Source organism: Homo sapiens, chromosome 12 (assembly GCF_000001405.40).
Source record: "Homo sapiens chromosome 12, GRCh38.p14 Primary Assembly".
NCBI lineage: Eukaryota > Metazoa > Chordata > Mammalia > Primates > Hominidae > Homo > Homo sapiens.
In genome coordinates this window covers 102,131,520-102,157,194 of record NC_000012.12, presented here as the reverse complement: position 1 = coordinate 102,157,194, position 25,675 = coordinate 102,131,520, and the positions used below count along the sequence as shown (strand labels likewise).

Below are 25,675 nucleotides of genomic sequence, written 5' to 3'. Positions count from 1 at the left end.
AATCTAGAGTATTACAAGAGTATTACAAGAGACATACAAGAGTATTACAAGAGACATACAAGTATTTGAGGGCACTGATAAAATATATATTTTAAGTGCAATCTATTTAACATGGGACATATAGAAGAATCTACCTCAGCAATGTTTGTCAAAAATGAAGGTGATTCACCAAATGTGTTAACTTACTGGAACAGGTGATTTTGGAAGTAAATGCATTCTAGACCATTTACATATCATATTTCTAAAATATGTTGGCTGGGCACAGTGTCTCATGCCTGTAATCCCAGCACTTTGGGAGACCAAGGCAGGCAGATCACTTGAGGTCAGGAGTTCGAAGCCAGCCTGACCATCATAGTAAAACCTGGTCTCTACTAAAAATACAAAACTTAGCCAGGCGTGGTGGTGCACGCTTGTAATCCCAGCTACTTGGGAGGCTGAGGTGGGAGGATCGCTTGAACCTGGGAGGCAGTGGTTGCAGTAAGTGGAGATCGTGCCACACTGCACTTCAGCCTGGGCAACACAGTAAGCCTCTGCCTCAAAAAAATAATAAGCAAAATAAATAAAACAAAAATAATTAAAATATGTTGAATATAATTTTACTTTTTTCAACACTCTTAAATTCTCATCTTGTCAATGGTGATTTTATTAATCACAGAAACTTTGCCAAGAGTTAAGCCCCGTAAAATATTTAAGGTTAATTCTGGGCCGGGCGCAGTGGCTCACACCTGTAATCCCAGCACTTTGGGAGGCCAAGGTGGGCGGATCACGAGGTCAGGAGATTGAGACCAACCTGGCTAACAGGGTGAAACCCCATCTCTACTAAAAATACAAAAAAAAAAAATTAGCTGGGTGTGGTGGTGGGCACCTGTAGTCCCAGCTACGCGGGAGGCTGAGGAAGGAGAATGGCATGAACACGGGAGGCGGAGCTTCCAATGAGCCGAGATTGCGCCACTGCACTCCAGTCTGGGTGACAGAAGGAGACACCGTCTCAAAAAAAAAAAAAAAAAAAAAAAAAAAAGGAAGGTTAATTCTGAGCCAAATATGAGTGATCATGGTGTTATCAGGGTGTCCTTGTTCTTAGAGCTCCCAAGATGGTGGCGGGCCACTTTCAAGATGGCAGCAAGCCTCTTGTTCTCTGACCTGGGGTTCTTGGCCTCACAGATTCCAAGGAATGGAATCTGGGGCCACGCAGTGAGTGTTATAGCTCTATTAGAAGCCGTGGGTCACGGAAGAGAACCGTGGAACCCAGCGACTAGTGTTCAGCTCGATTAGGATGAACCTGGGCATTTAGCCATGCAGGAACAATGGCAAGCCTTTAGCCGCTTGGGAGCAGCAATGAGCGCCTGGCTAGATCAGGAGCACAGCGGACATCCTACCAAAGTCAGCAGCAGGTCTGCAACAGCCACAGACAGCAGTGGTGGACTGGAGCAAAAGCTCTGCTCAAGCCATAACAAACACGGACCAGAAGAGTGTGCAGTTGCAAGATTTAATAGGGTGAAAACAGAGCTCCCATAAAATGGGAGGGGACCCAAAGGGTGTTGAAGTTCCTGCTCGAATGCCTGGGTTTATATTCCAATCATTGTCCCCGCCCCCCCCCCCCACCATGCTCTCAGGCGATAGATGATTGGCTATTTCTTTACCTCCTGTTTTAGCCTAATTAGCATTTTAGTGAGCTGTCTTTACTACCTGATTGGTTGAGTGTGAGCTAAGTTGCAAGCCACTTGTTTAAAGGTGGATGCGGTCACCTTCCCAGCTAGGCTTAGGAATCCTTAGTCGGCCTAGGAAATCCAGCTAGTCCTGTCTCTCAATGGCCTGAGGCATAGTCTCAAGAGATCCTGAGAACATGTGCCCAAGGTGGTTGGGTTATAGCTTGGTTATATATGGTTTTTTTGTTTTGTTTTTGTTTTTTTTTGAGATGGAGTCTTCCTCTGTCACTCAGGCTGGAGTGCAGTGGTGTGATCTCAGCTCACTGTAACCTCCACCTCCCTGGTTCAAGCAATTCCCCTGCCTCAGCCTCCCAAGTAGCTGAGGTAATATATGTTTTAGAGAGACATAAGACATCAATCAGTACATGTGAGGTAAAGATTGGTTCAGCCTGGAAAGGTGGGACACCTTGAAATGGGGCTTATAGGTCATAGGTAGATTCAAAGATTTTCTGATTGGCAAGCAATTGGTTGAAAGAATTATTATCTAAAGACCTGGAATCAGTAGAAAGGAGTCTCTGGTTTAAGATATGGGATTGTGAAGACCAAGGTTCTTATTATGTAGATGACGTCTCATAGGTGGCCACCCTTAGAAACAATAGATGGCAAATGCTTCCTATTAAAAGGTGCTAGACTCTCAGTTATCTCTTCAGGACTGGGAGGGCCTGGAAGGGGAAAGATTTAGTTAATTGATATCCTTTACAAACGCAAATTTTCCTCCACAAAAGACAGCTTTGTAGGACCATTTCAAAATATGGCAAAGAAACATATTTTGGGGTAAAATATTTTTATTTCCTTCTCTATCTGTCATGTGATGTTATGCCAGAGTCAGGCTGGAAAGTAAACCACATTATAGAGGGTTAAATAAAACCCATCTGATGAGATGTTACAGTTTAGAAGGTATGACTCCCCAGGCCCCTTAAATAGGAATTTGGGCAAGAGAGAAAAAAGGTCATAGTTTAGTCCCCGTTTTCGTAAGTACTACTACTATGGTTAGTGGGGTTACCATATATGTTTAGGTACCCAGCATAGTATTCAGCTGAACGTAAATTATATTAAACCAAACTTGTATGTGGCACTACTTTTCGGTGGTTTATACGACAAACCCTATCATCCAAACTCCTGATATATGAGCTGTACTACTGCAAGGGGTACAGACCAGATTTTTCAGTTGAGCATATTCTCCCAAGGATGAACCATCTAAAAGAGTAAATGTGAAGTTTACCAAAGAGAGTCAAAGAACTCTGACAAACTGGACCTTCAATTACTTTCCTGATACTTTGAATGATAACTATTTTTGTTCAATGCCTGTTACCTTGGCCCCAAACCATAAAGACTCTTTTATCACATTCTCACCAGCCTCCAATGTATTATTCTTTGCGAATACAGTTTTAAACATACTAAAGATTTGTTAAAAAAATTTTTACAAAGCATTAGTAACTTTAAGGTACCACCAAATTCAGTGATTTGAAAGGGATTATAGTCTGCTTTAATTTACTCACAGTTTATCAGTACCTTTTCATTATCACGGTTGTATTTACTTGTTGGTGATGTTGGTATAGAAAGATCAGTTTCATCACCTACTGCATACTGTTTGCCAGACAGAAAATCCAGTAGTTGACTCTGTAGAAAACATAGAGTATTACTAATAAAATGCTATGCTGACTATAAAAAATACTTCACATAAAGCTCTACTCAGTGTCATTGATGTTTCAGTTGAGAGTATTACCTGACAGTTGTTAGCAATCATTAAGAATACATATAATTAAACTTCATAATGTAATTGCCCATGGGTTCTTCCTGTGTGCTACACAAATAAAGACCACATAACTGCAGTAAAGAAAGAGTTTAGGGTCAGGTACCGTGGCTCACACCTGTAATCCTCACTTTGTGTGGCCAAAGCAGGTGGATTGCTGGAGCCCGGGAGTTCAAGACCAGCCTGGGCAACACAACGAAACTCTGTCTCTGCGAAAGATGCAAAACATTAGCTGGGCATGGTGGCATGTGCCTGTAGTCCCAGCTGCTCAAGAGGCTCAGGTGGGATGATCACTTGAGCCCAGGAAGGCTGCAGTGAGCTGCGACTACACCACTGCACTCCAACCTGGGCGCCAGAGTGATACCCTGTCTCAAAAAAGAGTTTAATAGGCACAAGGCTGGCCATGCCACGTGGGAGACAGGTAGTATTCAAACCAATCTCATCCAAAACTCATAGGTTAGGGGGTTTTCAAAGGCAATTTGGAAGAAGGAGTGAGGGGTGGCTAGGCTTGCTGCTGATTGGTGGAGGCAGAGATGATATCATAGGGGATCAAAGCTGTCGTCCTGCATGCTGAATTGCTTCTGGGTAGGTCCAGGTGGAACCATGGGTGTCAGACATGCAAAGAACCTGAAAAGATATCTCAAAAGGCCAACCTACAATAACGGTGCTATCTGCTTTTGTTTCAGCTAAGGAAAATACGTCTTATAACAAATATATTTATATCAAATTATTATGTACTTAATTATAGCCTCTTATGCATCTGTTTCTGTTTAACTCCTCTTTTTCCTTTTTTTTTTTTTTTGTTTTACTGTTCTTCTACTTGGAAAATTACTAAGTACTTCATGATTTCTTTACCTAATATTTTTCTTTGTGCTTTAAATATTTATTGTGCTTAATTTTCAAGAAACTAATTTTGGTCTGAATTGATCTACCAAAGGGTTGGGAACCCTTTTTTTTTTAATCGTCATGAAAATGATTTTTAATAAGTATCAGATGAAATTACTCTGAAGTATTTATCTCAATGTTATGCAATTACAAAGGAAAGTCTGCTTTTTTATACTTTCATGTTGTATTTGAAAAAGTAATAACCTTCTCTTATTTTTATCTGATAATTTTATAACCAGATAATAACTGTCACAGGAAAACAGTGAACAACTTGAATTGTCAGCTTACACAGGAGGAACTAGCTCATAAAACTTACAAATGTTTAAACATACTACACAGTAAATAAATTCTTACCACATATGTAGAACATCAATACACGAAATTTATAGTAACCCAGTAACTGCAACTACCAGCCTGCATCTAATCCCTTTTGTGAGTAATTTCATCATTACATCTCTGCTAGAAACCTTAAAAGAAATGTGGGTGCTCCCAGGGAGAACTGGAACCTTGATCTGGAATACTTTCCACCCATCCTGCAGTTTGAGAGTAAATCTTTACACCTGTCTCTTAAAACAGAAGATCCTAGATGGACTTAGACTATATTATGTCCTGTGTTTTTCAATCCAGTCTGAGATTTCGAACAGGGGCTGCCCTTTTTTATTCCACTCTAGCAACAAGCTTTCATCTGCATCCCTGAGAAGACCCAGCCCACCTGCCCAACATCTAGGAAGAGGAGCGAGGAAGCAGCAGAGCAAGGGATGCAGTTGGAAATAAAAGCATTCTTTGGTTTTTAGGAAGAAAAAAGAAAACTTTTTGATAAAGCAGGAGATGCAAATATTTACAAAAATAAAATCTAGCTCTGTATTTGGTAACCATGGTACACAAAAAAAGCATTTCTCTGAGATGCCTGGACTTCGGAGGTTTGCTCCTGGTTTTATATTAAACTGAAGCTCCTTGGGTCCCTGGTTCCTTCTTCTCAGCTTGGACAGTGAGTTGGTGCCAGGTGGCTTCTTCAATGTTCTGAAGCGGGTGGCTTTCCCATTGTCTCACTTGCCGCATGACAGCTGCCAGCTTCTTCAGGTCTCGTCTCTTCTTCTGGACCGTGATGGGAATCCCAGGCAATCTGAAGTTTAGGGACCAGCTCCATGCTAAGAGGGACTCTCCCTTCTGCCGCTCCAGAGTCAATGAGGCTGACACTGGTGGATCTTCCCCAGGAGCCAAGAGATCTGGCCTAGACAGCAGCAAGCTTCCTCTTTCTGAAGGTGGCTGTATAGTTGACCCCTGCCAGGTAGATCAGAAGGTCCTAAAAAGTGTGCAGGCATCAGGGACCCACCCAAAGGACCCCATTCACTGATGTTGATGCATCTCCCAGCAGCCGCAGGCTCCAACTAAGGACCATTTCTGCAGAGGTGCTACATTTTATGAGCTTTCTCAAGGGTGGCCTTCTCATCACAAAGAAGTTAAAGCCAAAAACCTATGCCTTCAGCTGCATTCTTCCGTGGGTAGTTGCAGCACCCTCTGCCATCCCCCCATCCCAGAGAGCCCAGCATCATGAAGCACCCGCGGCACCCCCACCCAGACCCAGGCCCACGCAGGTGCACTGCCTTCTTTTTTGCCAGATCCATAGTTTTATGTTGAGGTGCTATTCTTGAATTTTCCCAAGTACCTAACATTTATACGTATTCAAGTTGCTGTCATTCCCCCCAGTAGCTCTGTTCTGTTACGCACGTGTGTTGCAGCTAACTCATCCTTCTCTGGCTGCTGGAAACCCTTAAATGGTGTGTTGTTTTCTTCATTAGCTTTTTGGGACTCAGATCTGACTGCTGAAGTAGCTTAAGTGATGACAGTTCTACAAGTAATAGAAGTTGAAATTGTATCTATACTTACAGAGCAGCAGTGGACAAACAAACAGGCTACCAGTCATCTGCTGAGGCTAAGGAAGAGTCTTGTGTTCTCCCAAGCCTCACCAACAAGAAGTGAGCCCATCTATTCAGCTACTTCTTGGCTTGAGGGTCAGGGAATATGAGCGTACCTACAGAGGTCATTTGCTGACCTTCCCCCAAAGACGTCCACAGATCTCTGAGGCTAAGCTCTTCTCAGGATTAACCATTTCTGCTCCTCACCCCAGGTCTCTGATCCTGTCTTCCAGATACTTGCTCAGTTCATGAGAAAGCAAGCCCTGTATCAAATCTCTCTACTTAGTCTCCAGTTACAATCTAAGGCCTTGTATGCTCCGAGATGCCCATGGGCCCTGAATCCATTTTCCTTAGGAGAGGAATCGTAAGTAGGGAGTGAAGAGGGAAGGGGCACTGTTTAAGTGACCACATTCCCAAAATTGCCCTGACTTAGCTTTATCTTAATTCCTCATAATCCCTACCTTATTTCAGCTACAACAAATATGAAACAAAGAAACTTTATCAGGATTATGAAAATTCAGGATCATGACATTCAAAACTGTTTGGAATATTCTAATATGTACCTTGAAAGAGACTTTCAGCAAAAATTGGGATTATACTTAGTGCATTTTTGAGAAATCAATCTAGGGATATATTTTCCTGTCTACTTTTTCCCCGCACTGGAAATTTCCCTAGAACAAACAATAGTATCAGAGATTAAGTTGTTGATCTTCCACGGTTAAAATGCAGAACATTTTCTACTTCATGTACTACCATCTTAGCAGCTTCAATTTTACTCCTGATGACACGATGACATTTGGAGAGAGTATCCCACAGAGACAACCTCAAACTTGTACCCTGATATATATCATACTATAACTTAACCCACTCAAATGAGGAAACTTATTAGAGGACTTAGACAAGGGCGAGGAATAGAAGGAAAACAATGCGCCCAAAGACCTCAGGTAGATTATACTGTCACTGGTTTTTAAGATCTTTGTTGTCCTACAATCCAGTACTGATATATGATTAAGCCTCTCTAAATCAACTATGTGAAAAATAGACAAAAATCATCTCTGTAAGCAAGCAAATAAAATATAGCTAAGGAAGAATTTAAAAAGCTATCTTTACAAGTATCCTTACCATAGTGTAGTTGTACATGTGTGCGGATATGTTTTGAGGAAGCTGTAACAAGGCAAAGGTTTTTATGATAGTTCAATGAGGCAAAGACAGCAAGCTGCCTGCCAATATCCATTCTCCCTTTCTTCCCTAGTAATAGAGCTTTTGTTTTTATTCTGGCAAGATATTACCCAGAATAAGATCTATATTCTCCATCCTCCCTTGCAGCTTGTTGTGGCCATGTGACTAACCTTTTGGCAATGACATGAAAGAAAAAGCTATGTACCCTTAAGAGAAAAGCAAAGTGCTGTTCTTCCTTACTAGTTCTTGGTACAAGGAATACCAATATAATGGATATAATGGCTGGAGCTCCAACAGTCATCTTGGACCATAAAATGGTCTAGAGGGTAGGAACCAAGGACTAAAATGGGCGAGCAGAATGATAGAAAAAGTCCAGGTCTCTGATAACCATGGAGCTATCATATCAGTCTTGGTTGCATATCTTTAGACATCTTACATAAAAGAGTTATACTTCTATTTTTCTCTCAATAACTATTGTAGTGGAGGTTTCTATTATAATCGGCTAAAACACTGTTCTCAAGTATTGTATTGAAATATTTATAAAATAATTGATTATCTTACAAAATATAGCAAACATTTTCCTCTAATTCCAGCTTCAGTTATTTATTGCCACTATTTAACTACTACTTTATTGGCACTCAGTAAATGTTCAAATAACTAAAAATATTTCCAACACTTTAAAAATAACTAGATACACCCAAATATATTCTAAAACAGTTTATAAATTCTAACGTAGACAAAACCAAACTGCAAGGGATACTACTCCATTTAATTTTTACATTTATACTCCATTAAAAAAATGCTTGTGCAAAAAAAGAATAGTCTATTATCTCATGTATATTGCATAATACTATTTTCATAAAATAAATGATACCTATATGTAGTAAAATAACATTATTAATCCATAGAAAAAGTCACACCAATCATTTATCCAACATATGCCAAATGAACAGATGCACATTAAATCAAGAAAGTGAATACAAAAGCAATCTTTGACATGATTCAAAAAGAAATCAGGCATTTGGGACTAATTTCTTTGTTAGGGATTTTTGATCTAATAAGAAGCTATCCGTATAGCAACTAAATAACAATAACACAAGTCCAAGAAAATTTACCACAAAATCTTTCTTTCAAGTAATAAGTAGCTTTCAGGTAGCTAAATTTTCCCATTTTTAACATGATTCACAAAGCAAAAACATTACCAAGTTACTATAACTGGTGATACTATAATTCAAAATAAATAGAGCTAAATTTTAATTTGATTAAAATAGAATTGTTTAAAAAATACTTACAGGAGATACTGTGTTATAATTTTCACAATTAGAAGTCAAAGCCCTACATTTTTGATAAACATCAATCAGATCTAACATATTACTGTTCTTCAAGAAATCATCATAAATCTTCCTAACGTCCTCATAATGGTCAGTCACGTCCATGTTTTCAACTGGTAAGTTCAATTTCTCATGGAGCAAGTATTTCCATGTCAATAAAACATCACTGAGAGAGACTGTAAATTCTCCACTGTGCTGAAAAAGATAATGCCAAAAAAAAAAAAAATAAAGTTGGGTACCAGAATATTCAATAACTTATAACTGAGATAAGAAATACAAATTAAATTTTGGTAAAGTCTACATTCAATTTTTGTGGGTTTGAAGAGAACACCCAAGTTGAACTATGAGACAATTTTGGAAACCAGATATAAAAGAAAAAGGTTTTCATGATTTTATAAAATATGAACAACTAAGGCAAGTTTGCACATGATAAAACTGGTAAATACATAGCCGCTGTTACATTTCTTGAAATTCGTCAAATTTCTTCTACCCAAAATGGATGGATGGGTGGGCAGTAAACTATACTTAAGTACTATTGATGGGGGAAAATTTTGATTCTTTTTAGTTCCTTTTCGTTCTTTTGGCGAATCTATTTTTAATCTCGTATTTAAAATTCTCATTGCCATAGTGAATTCCCATATAACACAATATTCCAAGGGTTTAGTCTAAAAATATGGTCATAAAGATTAATTTTTTTTATTTTATTATTATTATACTTTAAGTTTTAGGGTACATGTGCACAATGTGCAGGTTAGTTACATATGTATACATATGCCATGCTGGTGCGCCGCACCCATTAACTCGTCATTTAGCATTAGGTATATCTCCTAATGCTATCCCTCACCCCTCCCCCCACCCCACAAGAGTCCCCAGAGTGTGATGTTCCCCTTCCTGTGTCCATGTGTTCTCATTGTTCAATTCCATCTATGATTGAGAACATGCGGTGTTTGGTTTTTTGTCCTTGCGATAGTTTACTGAGAATGATGATTTCCAATTTCATCCATGTCCCTACAAAGGACATGAACTCATCATTTTTCATGGCTGCATAGTATTCCATGGTGTATATGTGCCACATTTTCTTAATCCAGTCTATCATTGTTGGACATTTGGGTTGGTTCCAAGTCTTTGCTATTGTGAATAGTGCCAGAATAAACATATGTGTGCATGTGTCTTTACAGCAGCATGATTTATAGTCCCTTGGGTATATACCCAGCAATGGGATGGCTGGGTCAAATGGTATTTCTAGTTCTAGATCCGAGGAATAGCCACACTGACTTCCACAATGGTTGAACTAGTTTACAGTCCCACCAACAGTGTAAAAGTGTTCCTATTTTTCCACATCCTCTCCAGCACGTGTTGTATCCTGACTTTTTAATGATTGCCATTCTAACTGGTGTGAGATGGTATCTCATTGTGGTTTTGATTTGCATTTCTCTGATGGCCAGTGACGGTGAGCATTTTTTCATGTGTTTTTTGGCTGCATAAATGTCTTCTTTTGAGAAGTGTCTGTTCATGTCCTTTGCCCACTTTTTGATGGGGTTGTTTGTTTTTTTCTTGCAAATTTGTTTGAGTTCATTGTAGACTCTGGATATTAGCCCTTTGTCAGATGAGTAGGTTGCGGAAATTTTCTCCCATTTTGTAGGTTGCCTGTTCACTCTGACGGTAGTTTCTTTTGCTGTGCAGAAGCTCTTTAGTTTAATTAGATCCCATTTGTCAATTTTGGCTTTTGTTGCCATTGCTTTTGGTGTTTTAGACATGAAGTCCTTGCTCATGCCTATGTCCTGAATGGTAATGCCTAGGTTTTCTTCTAGGGTTTTTATGGTTTTAGGTCTAACGTTTAAGTCTTTAATCCATCTAGAATTAATTTTTATATAAGGTGTAAGGAAGGGATCCAGTTTCAGCTTTCTACATATGGCTAGCCAGTTTTCCCAGCACCATTTATTAAATAGGGAATCCTTTCCCTATTGCTTGTTTTTCTCAGGTTTGTCAAAGATCAGATAGTTGTAGATATGTGGCATTATTTCCGAGGGCTCTGTTCTGTTCCATTGATCTATATCTCTGTTTTGGTACCAGTACCATGCTGTTTTGGTTACTGTAGCCTTGTAGTATAGTTTGAAGTCAGGTAGCGTGATGCCTCCAGCTTTGTTCTTTTGGCTTAGGATTGACTTGGTGATGCGGGTTCTTTTTTGGTTCCATATGAACTTTAAAGTAATTTTTTTCCAATTCTGTGAAGAAAGCCATTGGTGGCTTGATGGGGATGGCATTGAATCTATAAATTACCTTGGGCAGTATGGCCATTTTCACCATATTGATTCTTCCTACCCATGAGCATGGAATGTTCTTCCATTTCTTTGTATCCTCTTTTATTTCATTGAGCAGTGGTTTGTAGTTCTCCTTGAAGAGGTCCTTCACATCCTTTGTAAGTTGGGTTCCTAGGTATTTTATTCTCTTTGAAGCAATAAAATTATGTTTCATTACTATTACTAGGAAAGCAAAACATCAGTGCTAAAACCTTGAGCCATTGCTTCTCGGCCTTTTGGCTAAGATCAAGTGTAAAACCTTGAGCCAGAGATTAATTTTGATTCTTCTCAGCTCATGGACACATGAAACTGTAACAAACAAGTGCTAAAAAGACACAGGTTTCTTTCTATAAGTTGTCAGATGTTAGTAATCAGGCAAAATTATTCTTTTTCTTTCTCTTTTTTGACAGAATTTCTATCTATCCCACGAGAAATAAAACAGATTATAACCTGGCTACAGTGACATATAGTTGCTTAGAGATCCACTAATGTTACCAACATGTTTGCATGCTAATATTTTATCTAACTATAATGCTTTCTTTAAAGTCTTCTTCAACATCTGCATAATAAATTCTCTCAGTGAACAAGTTGAAGGTTTTTTTTATTGATTCCATTCTGCTCCATTAATATTCTAGAAATTAATAATGATGCCTTCCAAAAGCTGCCAGCCCTAATTCAGCAAAAATTAAATTCTAACTACTCCTTTTTAATACACCATGAGTACTAAATATTTTTAAGTATCCAGATATGATTTATGAAATGTAATACATTGCTGTCTTCTATAGTTAAGTTCCTTTAATATTTTAGTAGTTTCCACTAACACCAAGATCTGTCAACTCATTGCATTTGAAGATGGGTGGGTATTCAAGTACAACTATAGTTCACTAGAACTAAACTACAATATAAACTTTACACAACAAAAACAGAAAGAAATCAAGTACTCCTAAATATTATTTTCTATATATTTGACCCTTTTAAATCTACATTTTTATACTTCCTATAATAATTAGCCACTGGTAGTACTTACTATCCACATTTAAGACTAAGTGTCCAAACTGCCTTAAAATAAGCAGCTCTTTACTCATCTATACAAACACAACTAAAAAAATTATCCTCATTGTCCTTAGTGCAGGGGCCTGTTGTGTCATGAAAATGGAAATTAATTCTATTTCATGAAACTAGTTCAATGAATAACCAAAAACAAAAAAATCAGTAACTCTCAAACATTGGATCTATTCTCCAAATGTAGGACATATTTGTAATTTTCCAGCATTGTACCAAAAACTGTACACTTACTCCCCAACCCCACAAAGGTTACACATCAGAAAATTTCCAAATGCTATGTAAATTAAATAAATCCAGTTATTTAGAGTTTTAAAACTAAACTGTTTTATCTCAAAAATTCCTAACACTATTTTTAGTCTGACATCCTTCATGTTTAAAATAAGATTTTGTGTAATGTAAATGCACAACTTATTCTTACCCTTTTGACTATAACTAGTTAAAGTAAAACTATGCAAGCTCTTGATCTTGTGAGAAAAAGTTTTGACTAGATTAACAGTGTTTATACTGGGATTGTAAAAACATTTTAAATCCAAATAAAAATGCACTCCAGATATCAGTTTTCATGATCAGGTGCCCACCATGACAGCATATTCTATTATTCAAACCAGTAACAACTGATTGAGAGAGTCTGTGGTCAAATCAGAAAATATTTTGCTAGGAAAACATGCCAGCTGGCTAATATATGAAGGAAGTTCAAAATGTTCACCACTTTAATTCTCTGATGGACATAAGAAGGATTGTATTGCACAAGAATAAAATGAGAAAATCAAGAGTTACATATTTTCCAGAGCATTCGTACTTTGTACATTATATCATATTTTTCTAATAACTCAAAATTTTAAATAAACTTTACATTTTTAATTGACTAGACATTTTGTTGTCATTAAAGAAAAGATAGGTCTACTTAAGAGCACTAATGGGCTATGTGACCTTGAGTAAGATACTGAAACCCCTGAGTCAGTTTCCTTGGTTATAAAATGAGATTACACAGATTAAATAACACCTGACAAATGATAGGTAATCAAAAATGTCAATTTCCTTTCTCTTCTCCTATTTAAAGTAAAATCATTGTTTTGAGGGGAAAGAGTGGTGATAAAATGCAATACAATTTTAAAAACCTGTTTCTTCTTGTTAGATCACAGTTACATCATTTTCAAATCTGACAGTCAATCACAGGTACTGTAATTGCTTTCCATAAAGGTATAAAATTAATACCTTCATCTGTTTTATGCAATGGAATATTGTAAGTTTCTCAATAAGACAATTTAAGGCAAAAAAAAAATAGCCTCTATTAACACGATTGTCAGTCAGATGCAAACTAAGAAGCTAATTCCAAAGAAAGAAAGCCAAAATATTAGTTGCCTCCTAATGAAGTCATATACATTCGCCATATAATGACGTCAAAAGTCCTCAATGAATCTATAAAGGTTACATTTTTAGGAGGAGGTTCCAAGATGGCCAAATAGGAACAGCTACAGTCTACAGCTCCCAGTATGAGCGACGCAGAAGATGAGTGATTTCTGCATTTCCAACTGAGGTACCGGGTTCATCTCATTGGGGCTTGTCAGACAGTGGGTGCAGCGCACAGAGCATGAGCTGAAGCAGGGCAGGGCATCATCTCACCCGGGAAGCGCAAGGGGTCGGGGAATTCCCTTTCCTAGCCAAGGGAAGCCATGACAGATGGTACCTGGAAAATCGGGACACTCCCACCCTAATACTGTGCTTTTCCAATGGTCTTAGCAAACGGCACACCAGCAGATTATATCCTGCTCCTTGCTAAGAGGGTCCCACGCCCACAAGAGCCTCACTCACTGCTAGCACATTAGTCTGAGATCGAACTGCAAGGCAGCTGGGGGTGGGGGGCGTCTGCCATTGCTGAGGCTTCAGTAGGTAAACAAAGTGGCCTGGAAGCTCAAACTGGGTGGAACCCACCACAGCTCAAGGAGGCCCGCCTGCCTCTGTACACTCCACCTCTGAGGGCGGGGCATAGCTGAACAAAAGGCAGCAGAAACTTCTGCAGACTTAAACATCCTGTCTGGCAGCTTTGAAGAGAGTAGTGGTTCTCCCAGCATGGAGTTTGAGATCTGAGAACGGACAGACTGCCTCCTCAAGTAGGTCCCTGAACACCAAGTAGCCTAAGTGGGAGGCACCTCCCAGTAGGGGCCGACTGACACCTCATACGGCCGGGTGTCCCTCTGAGACGAAACTTCCAGAGGAAGGATCAGGCAGCAACATTTGCCGTTCTGCAATATTTGCTGTTCTGCAGCCTCCACTGGTGATACCCAGGCAAACAGAGTCTGGAGTGGACCTCCAGCAAACTCCAACACACCTGCAGCTGAGGTTCCTGACTGTTAGAAGGAAAACTAACAAACAGAAAGGACATCCACACCAAACCTCATCTGTACGTCACCTTCATCAAAGACCAAAGGTAGATAAAACCACAAAGATGGGGAGAAACCAGAGCAGAAAAGCCAAATATTCTAAAAAGCAGAGTGCCTCTTCTCCTCCAAAGGAATGCAGCTCCTCACCAGCAATGGAACAAAGCTGGACAGAGAATGACTTTGACGAGTTGAGAGAAGAAGACTTCAGACGATTGGTAATAACAAACTTATCTGAGCTAAAGGAGGATGTTTAAACCCATTGCAAAGAAGGTAAAAACTTGAAAAAAGATTAGACGATTAGCTAACTAGAATAAACAGGGTAGAGAATACCTTAAATGACCTGATGGAGCTGAAAACCATGGCACGAGAACTATGAGATGCATGCACAAGCTTCAGTGGCTGATTCATCAAGTGGAAGAAAGGGTATCAGTGATTGAAGATCAAATTAATGAAATGAAGCGAGAAGACAAGTTTAGAGAAAAAAGAGTAAAAAGAAACAAACAAAGCCTCCAAGAAATATGGGACTATATGAAAAGACCAAATTTACATCTGATTGGTGTACCTGAAAGTGACGGGGAGAATGGAACCAAGTTGGAAAACACTCTGCAGGATATTATCCAGGAGAACTTCCCCAACCTAGCAGGGCAGGCCAACATTCAAATTCAGGAAATACAGAGAACTCCACAAAGATACTCCTCGAGAAGACCAACTCCAAGACACATAATTATCAGATTCACCAAAGTTGAACTGAAGGAAAAAATGTTAAGGGCAGCCAGAGAGAAAGGTCAGGTTACTCACAAAGGGAAGCCCATCAGACTAACAGCAGATCTCTCGGCAGAAACGCTACAAGCCAGAAGACAGTGGGGGCCAATATTCAACATTCTTAAAGAAAAGAATTTTCAACCCAGAATTTCATAGCCAGCCAAACTAAGCTTCATAAGTGAAGGAGAAATAAAATCCTTTACAGACAAGCAAATGCTGAGAGATTTTGTCACCACCAGACCTGCCTTACAAGAGCTCCTGAAGGAAGTACTAAACATGGAAAGGAAAAACTGGTACCAGCCACTGCAAAAACATGCCAAATTTTAAAGACCATCAAGGCTAGGAAGAAACTGCATCAACTAACGAGCAAAATAACCCGCTAACATCATAATGACAGGATCAAATTCACACATAACAATATTAAACTCAAATGTAAATGGGCTAAATGCTCCAATTAAAAGACACAGACTGGCAAATTGGATAAAGAGTCAAGACCCATCAGTGTGCTGTATTCAGGAGACCCATCTCACATGCAGAGACACATATAGGCTCAAAATAAAGGGATGGAGGAAGATCTACCAAGCAAATGGAAAACAAAAAAAAAAGCAGGGGTTGCAATCCTAGTCTCTGATAAAACAGACTTTAAACCAACAAAAATCAAAACAGACAAAGAAGGCCATTGCATAATGGTAAAGGGATCAATTCAACAAGAAGAGCTAACTATCCTAAATATATATGCACACAATACAGGAGCACCCAGATTCATATAGCAAGTCCTTAGAGACCTATCAAGAGACTTAGACTCCCACACAGTAATAATGGGAGACTTTAACACCCCACTGTCAACATTAGATAGATCAACAAGACAGAAAGTTAATAAGGATATCCAGGAATTCAACTCAGCTCTGCACCAAGCGGACCTAATAGACATCTACAGAACTCTCCACCCCAAATCAACAGAATATACATTCTTCTCAGCACCACACCGCACTTATTCCAAAATTGACCACTAAGTTGGAAGTAAAGCACTCCTTAGCAAATGTAAAAGAACAGAAATTCTAACAGACTGTCTCTCAGACCACAGTGCAATCAAACTAGAACTCAGGATTAAGAAACTCACTCAAAACCACTCAACTACATGGAAACTGAACAACCTGCTCCTGAATGACTACTGGTACATAACAAAATGAAGGCAGAAATAAAGATGTTCTTTGAAACCAATAAGAACAAAGACACAACACACCAGAATCTCTGGGACACATTTAAAGCAGTGTGTAGAGGGAAATTTATAGCACTAATTGCCCACAAGAGAAAGCAGGAAAGATCTAAAATCGACACCCTAACATCACAATTAAAAGAACTACAGAAGCAAGAGCAAACACATTCAAAAGCTAGCAGAAGGCAAGAAATAGCTAAGATCAGAGCACAACTGAAGGAAATAGAGACACAAAAAACCCTCCAAAAAATCAATGAACCCAGGAGCTGTTTTTTTGAAAGGATCAACAAAATTGATGGACCACTAGTAAGACTAATAAAGAAGAAAAGAGAGAAGAATCAAATAGCCACAATAAAAAACGATAAAGGGGATATCACCACCAATCCCACAGAAATACAAACTATCATCAGACAATACTATAAACACCTCTATGCAAATGAACTAGAAAATCTAGAAGAAATGGATCAATTCCTGGACACATATACCCTCCCAAGACTAAACCAGGAAGAAGTTGAATCCCTGAATAGACCAATAACAGGCTCTGAAATTGAGGCAATAATTAATAGCCTACCAACCAAAAAAATTCCAGGACCAGATGGATTCACAGCTAAATTCTACCAGAGGTACAAAGAGGAGCTGGTACCATTCTTTCTGAAACTATTCCAATTAACAGAAAAAGAGGGAATCATCCCTAACTCATTTTATGAGGCCAGCATCATCCTGATACCAAAGCCTGGCAGAGACACAACAAAAAAAGAGAATTTTAGACCAATATCCCTGATGAACATCCATGCGAAAATCCTCAATAAAATACTGGCAAACTAAATCCAGCAGCACATCTAAAAGCTTATCCACTAAGATCAAGTGGGCTTCATCCCTGGGATGAAAGCCTGGTTCAACATACACAAATCAATAAATGTAGTCCATCATATAAACAGAACCAAAGACAAAAACCACATGATTATCTCAACAGATGCAGAAAAGGCCTTCCACAAAATTCAACAGCCCTTCAGGCTAAAAACTCTCAATAAACTAGGTACTGATGGGAAGTATCTCAAAATAATAAGAGCTAATTATGACAAAGCCACAGCCAATATCATACTGAATGGGCAAAAACTGGAAGCATTCCCTTTGAAAACTTGCACAAGACAGGGATGCCCTCTCTCACCACTCCTAGTCAACATAGTGTTGGAAGTTCTGGCCAGGGCAATCAGGCAGGAGAAAGAAATAAAGGGTATTCATTTAGGAAAAGAAGAAGTCAAATTGTCCCTGTTTGCAGATGACATTATTGTATATTTAGAAAACCCCATCGTCTCAGCCCAAAATCTCCTTAAGCTGATAAGCAACTTCAGCAGTCTCAGGATACAAAATCAATGTGCAAAACTCACAAGCATTCTTATACACCAATCACAGACAGAGAGCCAAATCATGAGTGAACTCTCATTCACAATTGCTACAAAGAGAATAAAATACCTAGGAACCCAACTTACAAGGGATGTGAAGGACCTCTTCAAGGAGAACTACAAACCACTGCTCAATGAAATAAAAGAGGACACAGACAAATGGAAGAACATTCCATGCTCATGGACAGGAAGAATCAATATGGTGAAAATGGCCATACTGTCCAAGGTAATTTATAGATTTAATGCCATCCCCATGAAGCTACCAATGACTTTCTTCACAGAATTGGAAAAAACTACTTTAAAATTCATATGGAACCAAAAAAGAGCCCACATTGCCAAGACAATCCTAAGCAAGAAGAACAAAGCTGGAGGCATCACGCTTCCTGACTTCAAACTATACTACAAGGCTACAGTAACCAAAACAGCATGGTAGTGGTACCAAAACAGAGATATAGATCAATGGAACAGAACAGAGCCCTCAGAAATAATATCACACATCTACAACCATCTGATCTTTGACAAACCTGACAAAAACAAGAAATCGGGAAAAGATTCCCTATTTAATAAATGGTGCTGGGAAAACTGGCTAGCCATATGTAGAAAGCTGAAACTGGATCCCTTCCTTACACCTTATACAAAAATTAATTCAAGATGGATTAAAGACTTGAATGTTAGACCTAAAACCATAAAAACCCTACAAGAAAACCTAGGCAATACCATTCAGGACATAGGCATGAGCAAGGACTTCATGACTAAAACACCAGCCAAAATTGATAAATGGGATCTAACTAAACTAAAGAGCTTCTGCACAGCAAAAGAAACTACCATCAGAGTAAACAGGCAACCTACAGAATGGGAGAAAATTTTTGCAATCTACCCATCTGACAAAGGGCTAATTCCAGAATCTACAAAGAACTTAAAAAAAATTTACAAGAACAAATCAAACAACCCCATCAAAAAGTGCACAAAGGATATGAACAGATACTTCTCAAAAGAAGATATTTATGCACCCAAAAGACACAAGAAAAAATGCTCATCATCACTGGCCATCAGAGAAATGCAAATCAAAACCACGATGAGATACCATCTCACACCAGTTAGAATGGCCATTATTAAAAAGTCAGGAAACAAAAGGTGCTGGAGAGGATGTGGAGAAATAGGAACACTTTTACACTGTTGGTGGGACTGTAAACTAGTTCATTCATTGTGGAAGTCAGTGTGGTGATTCCTCAGGGATCTAGAACTAGAAATACCATTTGACCCAGCCATCCCATTACTGGGTATATACCCAAAGGATTATAAATCATACTGCTACGAAGACACACGCACACGTATGTTTATTGCGACACTATTCACAATAGCAAAGACTTGGAACCAACCCAAATGTCCAAGAATGATAGACTGGATTAAGAAAATATGGCACATATACACCATGGAATACTATGCAGCCATAAAAAAGGATGAGTTCATGTCCTTTGTAGGGACATGGATGAAGCTGGAAACCATCATTCCGAGCAAACTATCTCAAGGACAGAAAACCAAACGCTGCATGATCTGACTCATAGGTGGGAACTGAACAATGAGAACACATGGACACAGGAAGGGGAACATCACAAACTGGGGCCTGTCGTGGGGTGGGGGGAGCGGGGAGGGATAGCATTAGGAGATGTACCTAATGTAAATGACGAGTTAATGGGTGCAGCACACCAACATGGCACATGTGTACATATGTAACAAACCTGCACGTTGTGCACATATACCCTAGAATTAAAAAAAAAAAATCTTTAGCAGTATATAACTGCTAGAGAGGCATTATATAATTCAAGCTAAAAAATTTTCCCCCTCAAAAAACATGCTAAAAACCTAAAACTTAAAGAGTATTTCAATATGTCTTTTCTTTTCTCCCACTTTAACAGTTGAGAAAAAACAAATATGCCATTAGACAGACTAACAACTCTACTAGGTATTCAAAAGTTTTACTGTAGTCAAATTCAGCTGTAAGAATTATACTTTAAGACTCATGTTCTCAAACTTCAGAGAATTAAAAACTTACGTGGTGGTTCACGCCTGTAATTTTAGCACTTTGGGAGGCCGAGGCGGGTGGATCACGAAGTCAGGAGATCGAGACCATCCTGGCTAACATGGTGAAACCCCGTCTCTCCTAAAAATACAAAAAATTAGCTAGGCGTGGTGGTGGGTGCCTGTAGTCCAGCTACTCAGGAGGCTGAGGCAAGAGAATGGCATGAACCCAGGAGGCGGAGTTTACAGTGAGCGGAGATTGTGCCACTGCACTCCAGCCTGGGTGACAGAGTGAGACTCTGTCTCAAAAACAAACAAACAAACAAAAAAAACACAAAACAAAACAAAAACCAAAAGAGAAATCTAAATAGAGCTCAAACACAGGATAAAAAATATACGTCATGGATATATACAACCAACTCTATCTACTTTTAATTACTATATGCTACTCACGAATGCACCCGCAGACATATAGGTATGTTGTTTCATACTGCTTGGAAGTCAGAGCACAGTTGAGGATGCCTAAGCTAACTCTTATGTGGAAAGTTGAAATAAAACTGAACTGCAACCTACCACACCACTACACATGTGCACACACATACAAGAACTGTGAAAATCTCAGTTGCAACTCACCTCTTCTTTCCCACCCAGAGTCTGAACTTTCACACTGAATTAAGTGAATTAGCAAGTAGAAAATTAGCAAGTAGAAAGAGACACTGAGTGACTGCTACGTAAACAAATCCTGAAGAAAAACTGACTTGGATTGAATATTTCAGTATGTGAAAATTCTTACAATGAGGGTTAAATGTTTTTCAGGGTATATTTCACTTAGCTTGTTGAAAAAATCTACTTATTTCTTTAAAAGTAAGTCATAAATAAATGAAAGGAGGTGATTTGAATATAGTCTGATTCCAGAATAACAGCCTCCAATCACTATACAATACTGATTCTGAAAAATTGCCTCAATTCCTCTCTCATTATTTTCCAGTGTATGGTCACCAAGGTTTAACCCTTAGCTAGTCTATTTATTCAATATTCTCATAATCCATCATTTACCTTAGTACTACTTCCTCACACTACCAAAGAAGAATAAATTAAAATAAAAATAGGGTATCTAGCTTAAGTTACTGAGTGAACAATGGCACATGCCAATACGACTAAGAATATGAACGGGAAGGTCAGTTGAAAAAGCAAACAATGTGCTCTATTTTAAAAATTGATGTGGGAGAGACTCCATCTCAAAAAAAAATGATGTGGAAACAGTACAGGGACATCAAGGTAAAGATGATCATACTGGATTTAAGACTCAGTAGAATGGTATCTCACATAAATGCAGGTAGAAGAATGTAAGGGAAATGCATCCAGTGAAAGTAGGTAAAATGGAGAAAAGCTAAAACTTGTAGGTAAAACTAGAAGATACTGAAATAATTAAGATCACTCCACCCCCAAATTATGCCACCTGGTAAAATGAAAATCTAGGCTAAAAGTACTCGAAAAACAGCAGGTGCAAGATGATCACTATGAACTTCCTTCCGTTTCTTCAAAACAGAAGACAAAATTCCCATGTGAAAGATACCCTCTTTATACAAGTAACGGTCTTATCATCAAGGAGTGTAAACTGAGGTCCAGGGAAATCTATACAAACCTTATTAAACTAATCTTTATTTCCTGGCCACTACTCCATCCAATTAAACACCCAAGTTCCTTTGCCTTGTCATTTTTTTTTTTTTTTTTTTTTTTTTGGAGACGGAGTCTCTGTCTCCCAGGCTGGAGTGCAGTGGTGCGATCTCACTGCAAGCTCTGCCTCCCGGGTTCACACCATTCTCCTGCCTCAGCCTCCCAAGTAGCTGGAACTACAGGCGCCTGCCACCACACCCGGCTAATTCTCTTGTATTTTTAGTAAAGATGGGGTTTCACCGTGTTAGCCAGAATGGTGTCGATCTCCTGACCTAGTGATCCACCCACCTTGGCCTCCCAAAGTGCTGGGATTACAGGCGTGAGCCACCATGCCCGGCCCACATTTTCATTTTACTACTCTTTCTCCGATTCAGTATGTAAGTGTTCAACTCTAACTTGTCTTTTGGTCTTCATTTCCTTATACATATTCCTGTGCCATGTAATACTCCTATTAAATTTGTATGATTTTCTCCTGTTGATCTGCCTTATGTCAATTTAATTCTCAGGCCCAGCCAAAAACCCTAAAAGGGTGGAGGTAAAATTTTGCCTCCCTTACAGTACCAACAAAATTTATAACAAAGAGAATATCTAAAATACATATAGAAATATTCCAAATAAGAAAGAGGTCAGACATAGTGGTTCATGCCTGTAATCCCAGCACTTTGGGAGACCGAGGCAGGCAGATCCCTTGGGCCCAGGAGTTCAAGACCAGCCTGGGCAACATGGAGAAACCCTGTCTCTATAAAAAAATAAAAGAATTAGCTGGGCATGGTGGTACGTACCTGTAGTCCCAGCTACTTGGGAGGCTGAGGTAAAAATCACCTAAGCCTGGGGAGGTCGAGGTTGCAGTGAACAATGATTGTGCCACTGCACTCCAGCCTGGGCGACAGAGTGAGAGCCTGTCTCACAGCAAAAACAAGAGACAAAAACAACTCAACAGTAAAATAAGAAAAGGATATGAATAGAAAGTCTATGAGGAGAATACTTACCTACTGGCTTCATAAAATGAGCTGGAAAGTGTTCCCCCTTCTGCATGCTTTTGGAAGAGTTTGAGAAGGATTGGTATTAGTTCTTTAAATGTTTGGTAGAATTCAGCAGTAAAGCCATCAGGTCCTGGGCTTTTCTTTAATAAAAGACTTTTTATTACTGATTCAATGTCCTTATTTCTTATTGGTCTATTCAGAGTTCCTATTTCTTCATGATGTAGTCTTGGTAGATAGTACGTGTCAAGGAATTTATCCATTTCTTCTAGGTTATCCAATTTGTTGGCATACAAATTGTTCATAGTAGTCTTTTATGACCTGTTTTATTTCTGTGGTATTAGTTATAATGTATCCTTTTTCATTTCTTTTTTTTTTTTTTTGAGGCTTCTCTTTTTTCTTACTTTTACCTAAAGGTTTGTTGATTTTGTTTATCTTTTCAAAAAGCCAACTCTTAGCTTCATTGATCTTTGCTATTGTTTTTTTAGTCTCTATTTCATTTATTTCTGCTCTCATCTTTATTATTCTCTTCCTTCTGCTAAGTTTGGGCTTAGTGTGTTCTTTTCCTAGTTTCTTTTGGTGTAATGTTAAGTTTATTAAAGATCTTTTTTTCTTTCAATGTAGGTGTTTATTGCTATAAGCTTTCCTCTTAGAATTGCTTTTGCTCTATCCCATAAGTTGTGGTATGTTGTACTTCCATATTTTTTAAGGTTTTTTTAAATTTCCTTTTAATTTCTTCTTCGAACCGTTGGTTAATTTCCACGTGTTTGTTAATTTTCCAAATTCTTCCTGTTACAGATTTCTAGTTTCATACCACTGTAATCAGAAAAGATACTCAGTATGATTTCAATCTTCTTAAATTTGTTAAGACTTGTTTTGTGGGCTAACATATGATCTATCTTGACGAATGTTCTGTATGCACTAAGAACTCTTCCAAAAAAATGAAAAGGGAATACTTCCAAACTCATTTTATGAAACAACCATGACCCGGATTCCAAAGCCACACTAGGACACTACAAGAAAAAAAAAATTAGAGGACAATATCCATAATGAACACATATGCAAAATTCCTCAACAAAATACTAGGAAACCAAATTAAACAGCACATTAAAAGGATCACTCATGATGATAAAGTCAGATTCATACCAGGGATGGTTCAGCATATGCAAATCTATAAACAAAACATGGCACATAACAGAATGAAGGACAAAACACTATGATCATCTCTAAAGACACAGAAAAAAACATCTGACAAAATTAAATATCCTCTCATTATAATAATTGTCAACACATTAGATATAAAAAAATACTTCAACATGAGAAAGGCCATATATGACAAACTCACAGCTAACATCATACTCAATAGTGAAAAAGTTGAAAGATTTCCCTTTAAGATCAGGAACAAGACAAGGATGCTCACTCTTCCCACTTCTATTCAACATAGTACTAGAAGGTGTAGCCAGAGTGGTTAGGTAAGAAAAAGAAACAAAAGGCATCCAAATTGGAAAGAAATAAGTGAAAATGTTCCTGTTTACAGATAACATGTTCTTATATACAGAAAACCATAAAGACGCCACCAAAAACTGTAAGAATAAACAAATTGTGTAAAGTGGCAAGATACAAAAATCAAAATACAAAAATCAGTATCATTTCAATGCACTAAAAACAATCTGAAAAAGTAATCCAGAAAACAATCCCATTTACAATAGCTATAAAAACAAAAAATTTTTACAAATAAATTTAACCAAGAAGATGAAAGATCTGCACACTGAAAACTATAAAACATGGATAAAAGAAATTAAAGAAGACACAAGTATACGGAAAGTTATCCCATATTGATGAACTGGAAGAATTAATATTGTTAAAATGTCCATATTATCCAAAGCAATATACAGATTCAATGCTATTCCTATCAAAATTCCAGTGCCATTTTTGACAGAAATAGAAAAAACAATTTTAAAATTTATATGGAACTACAACAGACCCCAAACAGCAAAAACAATCTTGAGCAAAATGAACAAAGCTGGAGGCATCACACTACCTAACTTCAAACTATACTACAAAACTATGGTAATCCAAATAGCATAGTACTAGCATAAAAACATACGGATAGACCAGTGGAACAGAATTGAGAACCAAGATATATATCCACAAATTTACAGGCAATTGGTTTTGAAAAAAGATACAAAAAACACCTAATGGGGAAAGAACAGTCTAATCAATAAATGTTGGACAACTGGGTATCTACCTGCAGAAAAATGAAATTAGACCCTTATCCCTTTTACAAAAATCAACTCAAAATGGATTTTTTTCTTTTGAACTTTTAAGTTCAGGGGTATATGTGCAGGTTTGTTACACAGGTAAATTCATGTCATAGGGGTTTGTTGTACAGATTCTTTTTTTTTTTTTTTGAGACAGGGTCTCGCTCTGTCGCTATCCCCCAGACTGGAACGCAATGGCGTGACTTCAGCTTACTGCAACCTCCACCTCCTGGGTTCAAGTGATTCTCCCACCTCAGCCTCTCAAGTAGCTGGGATTACAGGCACATGCCACCATGGCCTGGCTAATTTGTGTATTTTTAGTAGAGATGGGGTTTCACCATGTTGGCCAGGCTGGTCTCAAACTCCCGACCTCAGGCCATCTGCCTGCCTCAGCCTCCCAAAGTGCTGGGATTACAGGCATTAGCCACAGCGCCCAGCTGTACAGATTATTTTGTCACCCCGGTATTAAGCCAAGTGCCCATTAGTTATTCTTCCTGATCCTCTCCCTCCTCCCACCCGTCACCCTTCAGTAGGCCCCAGTACCTGTTATTTCCCTCTATGTGTCCATTTGTTCTCATCATTTAGCTCCCACTTATAAGTGAGAACATGTGGTATCTGGTTTTCTGTTCCTGCATTAGTTTGCTAAGGATAATGGTCTCTAGTTCCTTTTCCTGCAAAGGACATGATCTCGTTCTTTTTTACGGCTGTAGAGTATTCCATGATGTATATGTACCACATTTTCTTTATCCAGTCTATCATTAATGGCCATTTAGGTTGATTCCAAATCTTTGCTTCTGTCAATAGCACTGCAATAAACCTACACATGCATGTGTCTTTATGA

The 25,675-nt window shown here is 38.5% G+C and overlaps 1 protein-coding gene across 88 annotated transcripts in view, besides 1 other annotated feature; it reads right to left on the bottom strand.

Moving 5' to 3' along the window:
* Positions 1-25,675, bottom strand: part of PARPBP (PARP1 binding protein) — a 77,338-nt gene that overhangs the window by 40,326 nt on the left and 11,337 nt on the right. For 32 of the 88 annotated variants that reach the window (XR_007063095.1, NM_017915.5, NM_001382725.1 and 29 more), the window contains 2 exons: positions 8,732-8,965; positions 3,219-3,326 (listed from right to left, as the gene is read on the bottom strand). The exons of 9 other annotated variants lie outside the window; for them this stretch is intronic. Coding sequence is in view for 75 of the 79 variants with exons in the window: in NM_017915.5 (NP_060385.3) it covers positions 3,219-3,326; positions 8,732-8,965 (342 nt within the window). In the remaining 4 variants the exon portion in view is untranslated. Of the gene's footprint in view, positions 1-1,472; positions 2,369-3,205; positions 3,327-5,394; positions 5,626-8,187; positions 8,966-19,950; positions 20,059-22,582; positions 23,587-25,675 lie in introns of those variants that run through there. 47 more of the 88 variants (NM_001382722.1, NM_001400874.1, NM_001400877.1 and 44 more) reach the window with 14 other exon arrangements.
* Positions 3,733-4,234: an enhancer, noted in NCBI's record as "H3K4me1 hESC enhancer chr12:102546739-102547240 (GRCh37/hg19 assembly coordinates)". NCBI's record gives its function as "activates a minimal SCP1, AML or CMV promoter by ChIP-STARR-seq in primed H9 embryonic stem cells {active_cell/tissue: H9 hESC(primed)}" and the evidence as "EXISTENCE:reporter gene assay evidence [ECO:0000049][PMID:30033119]".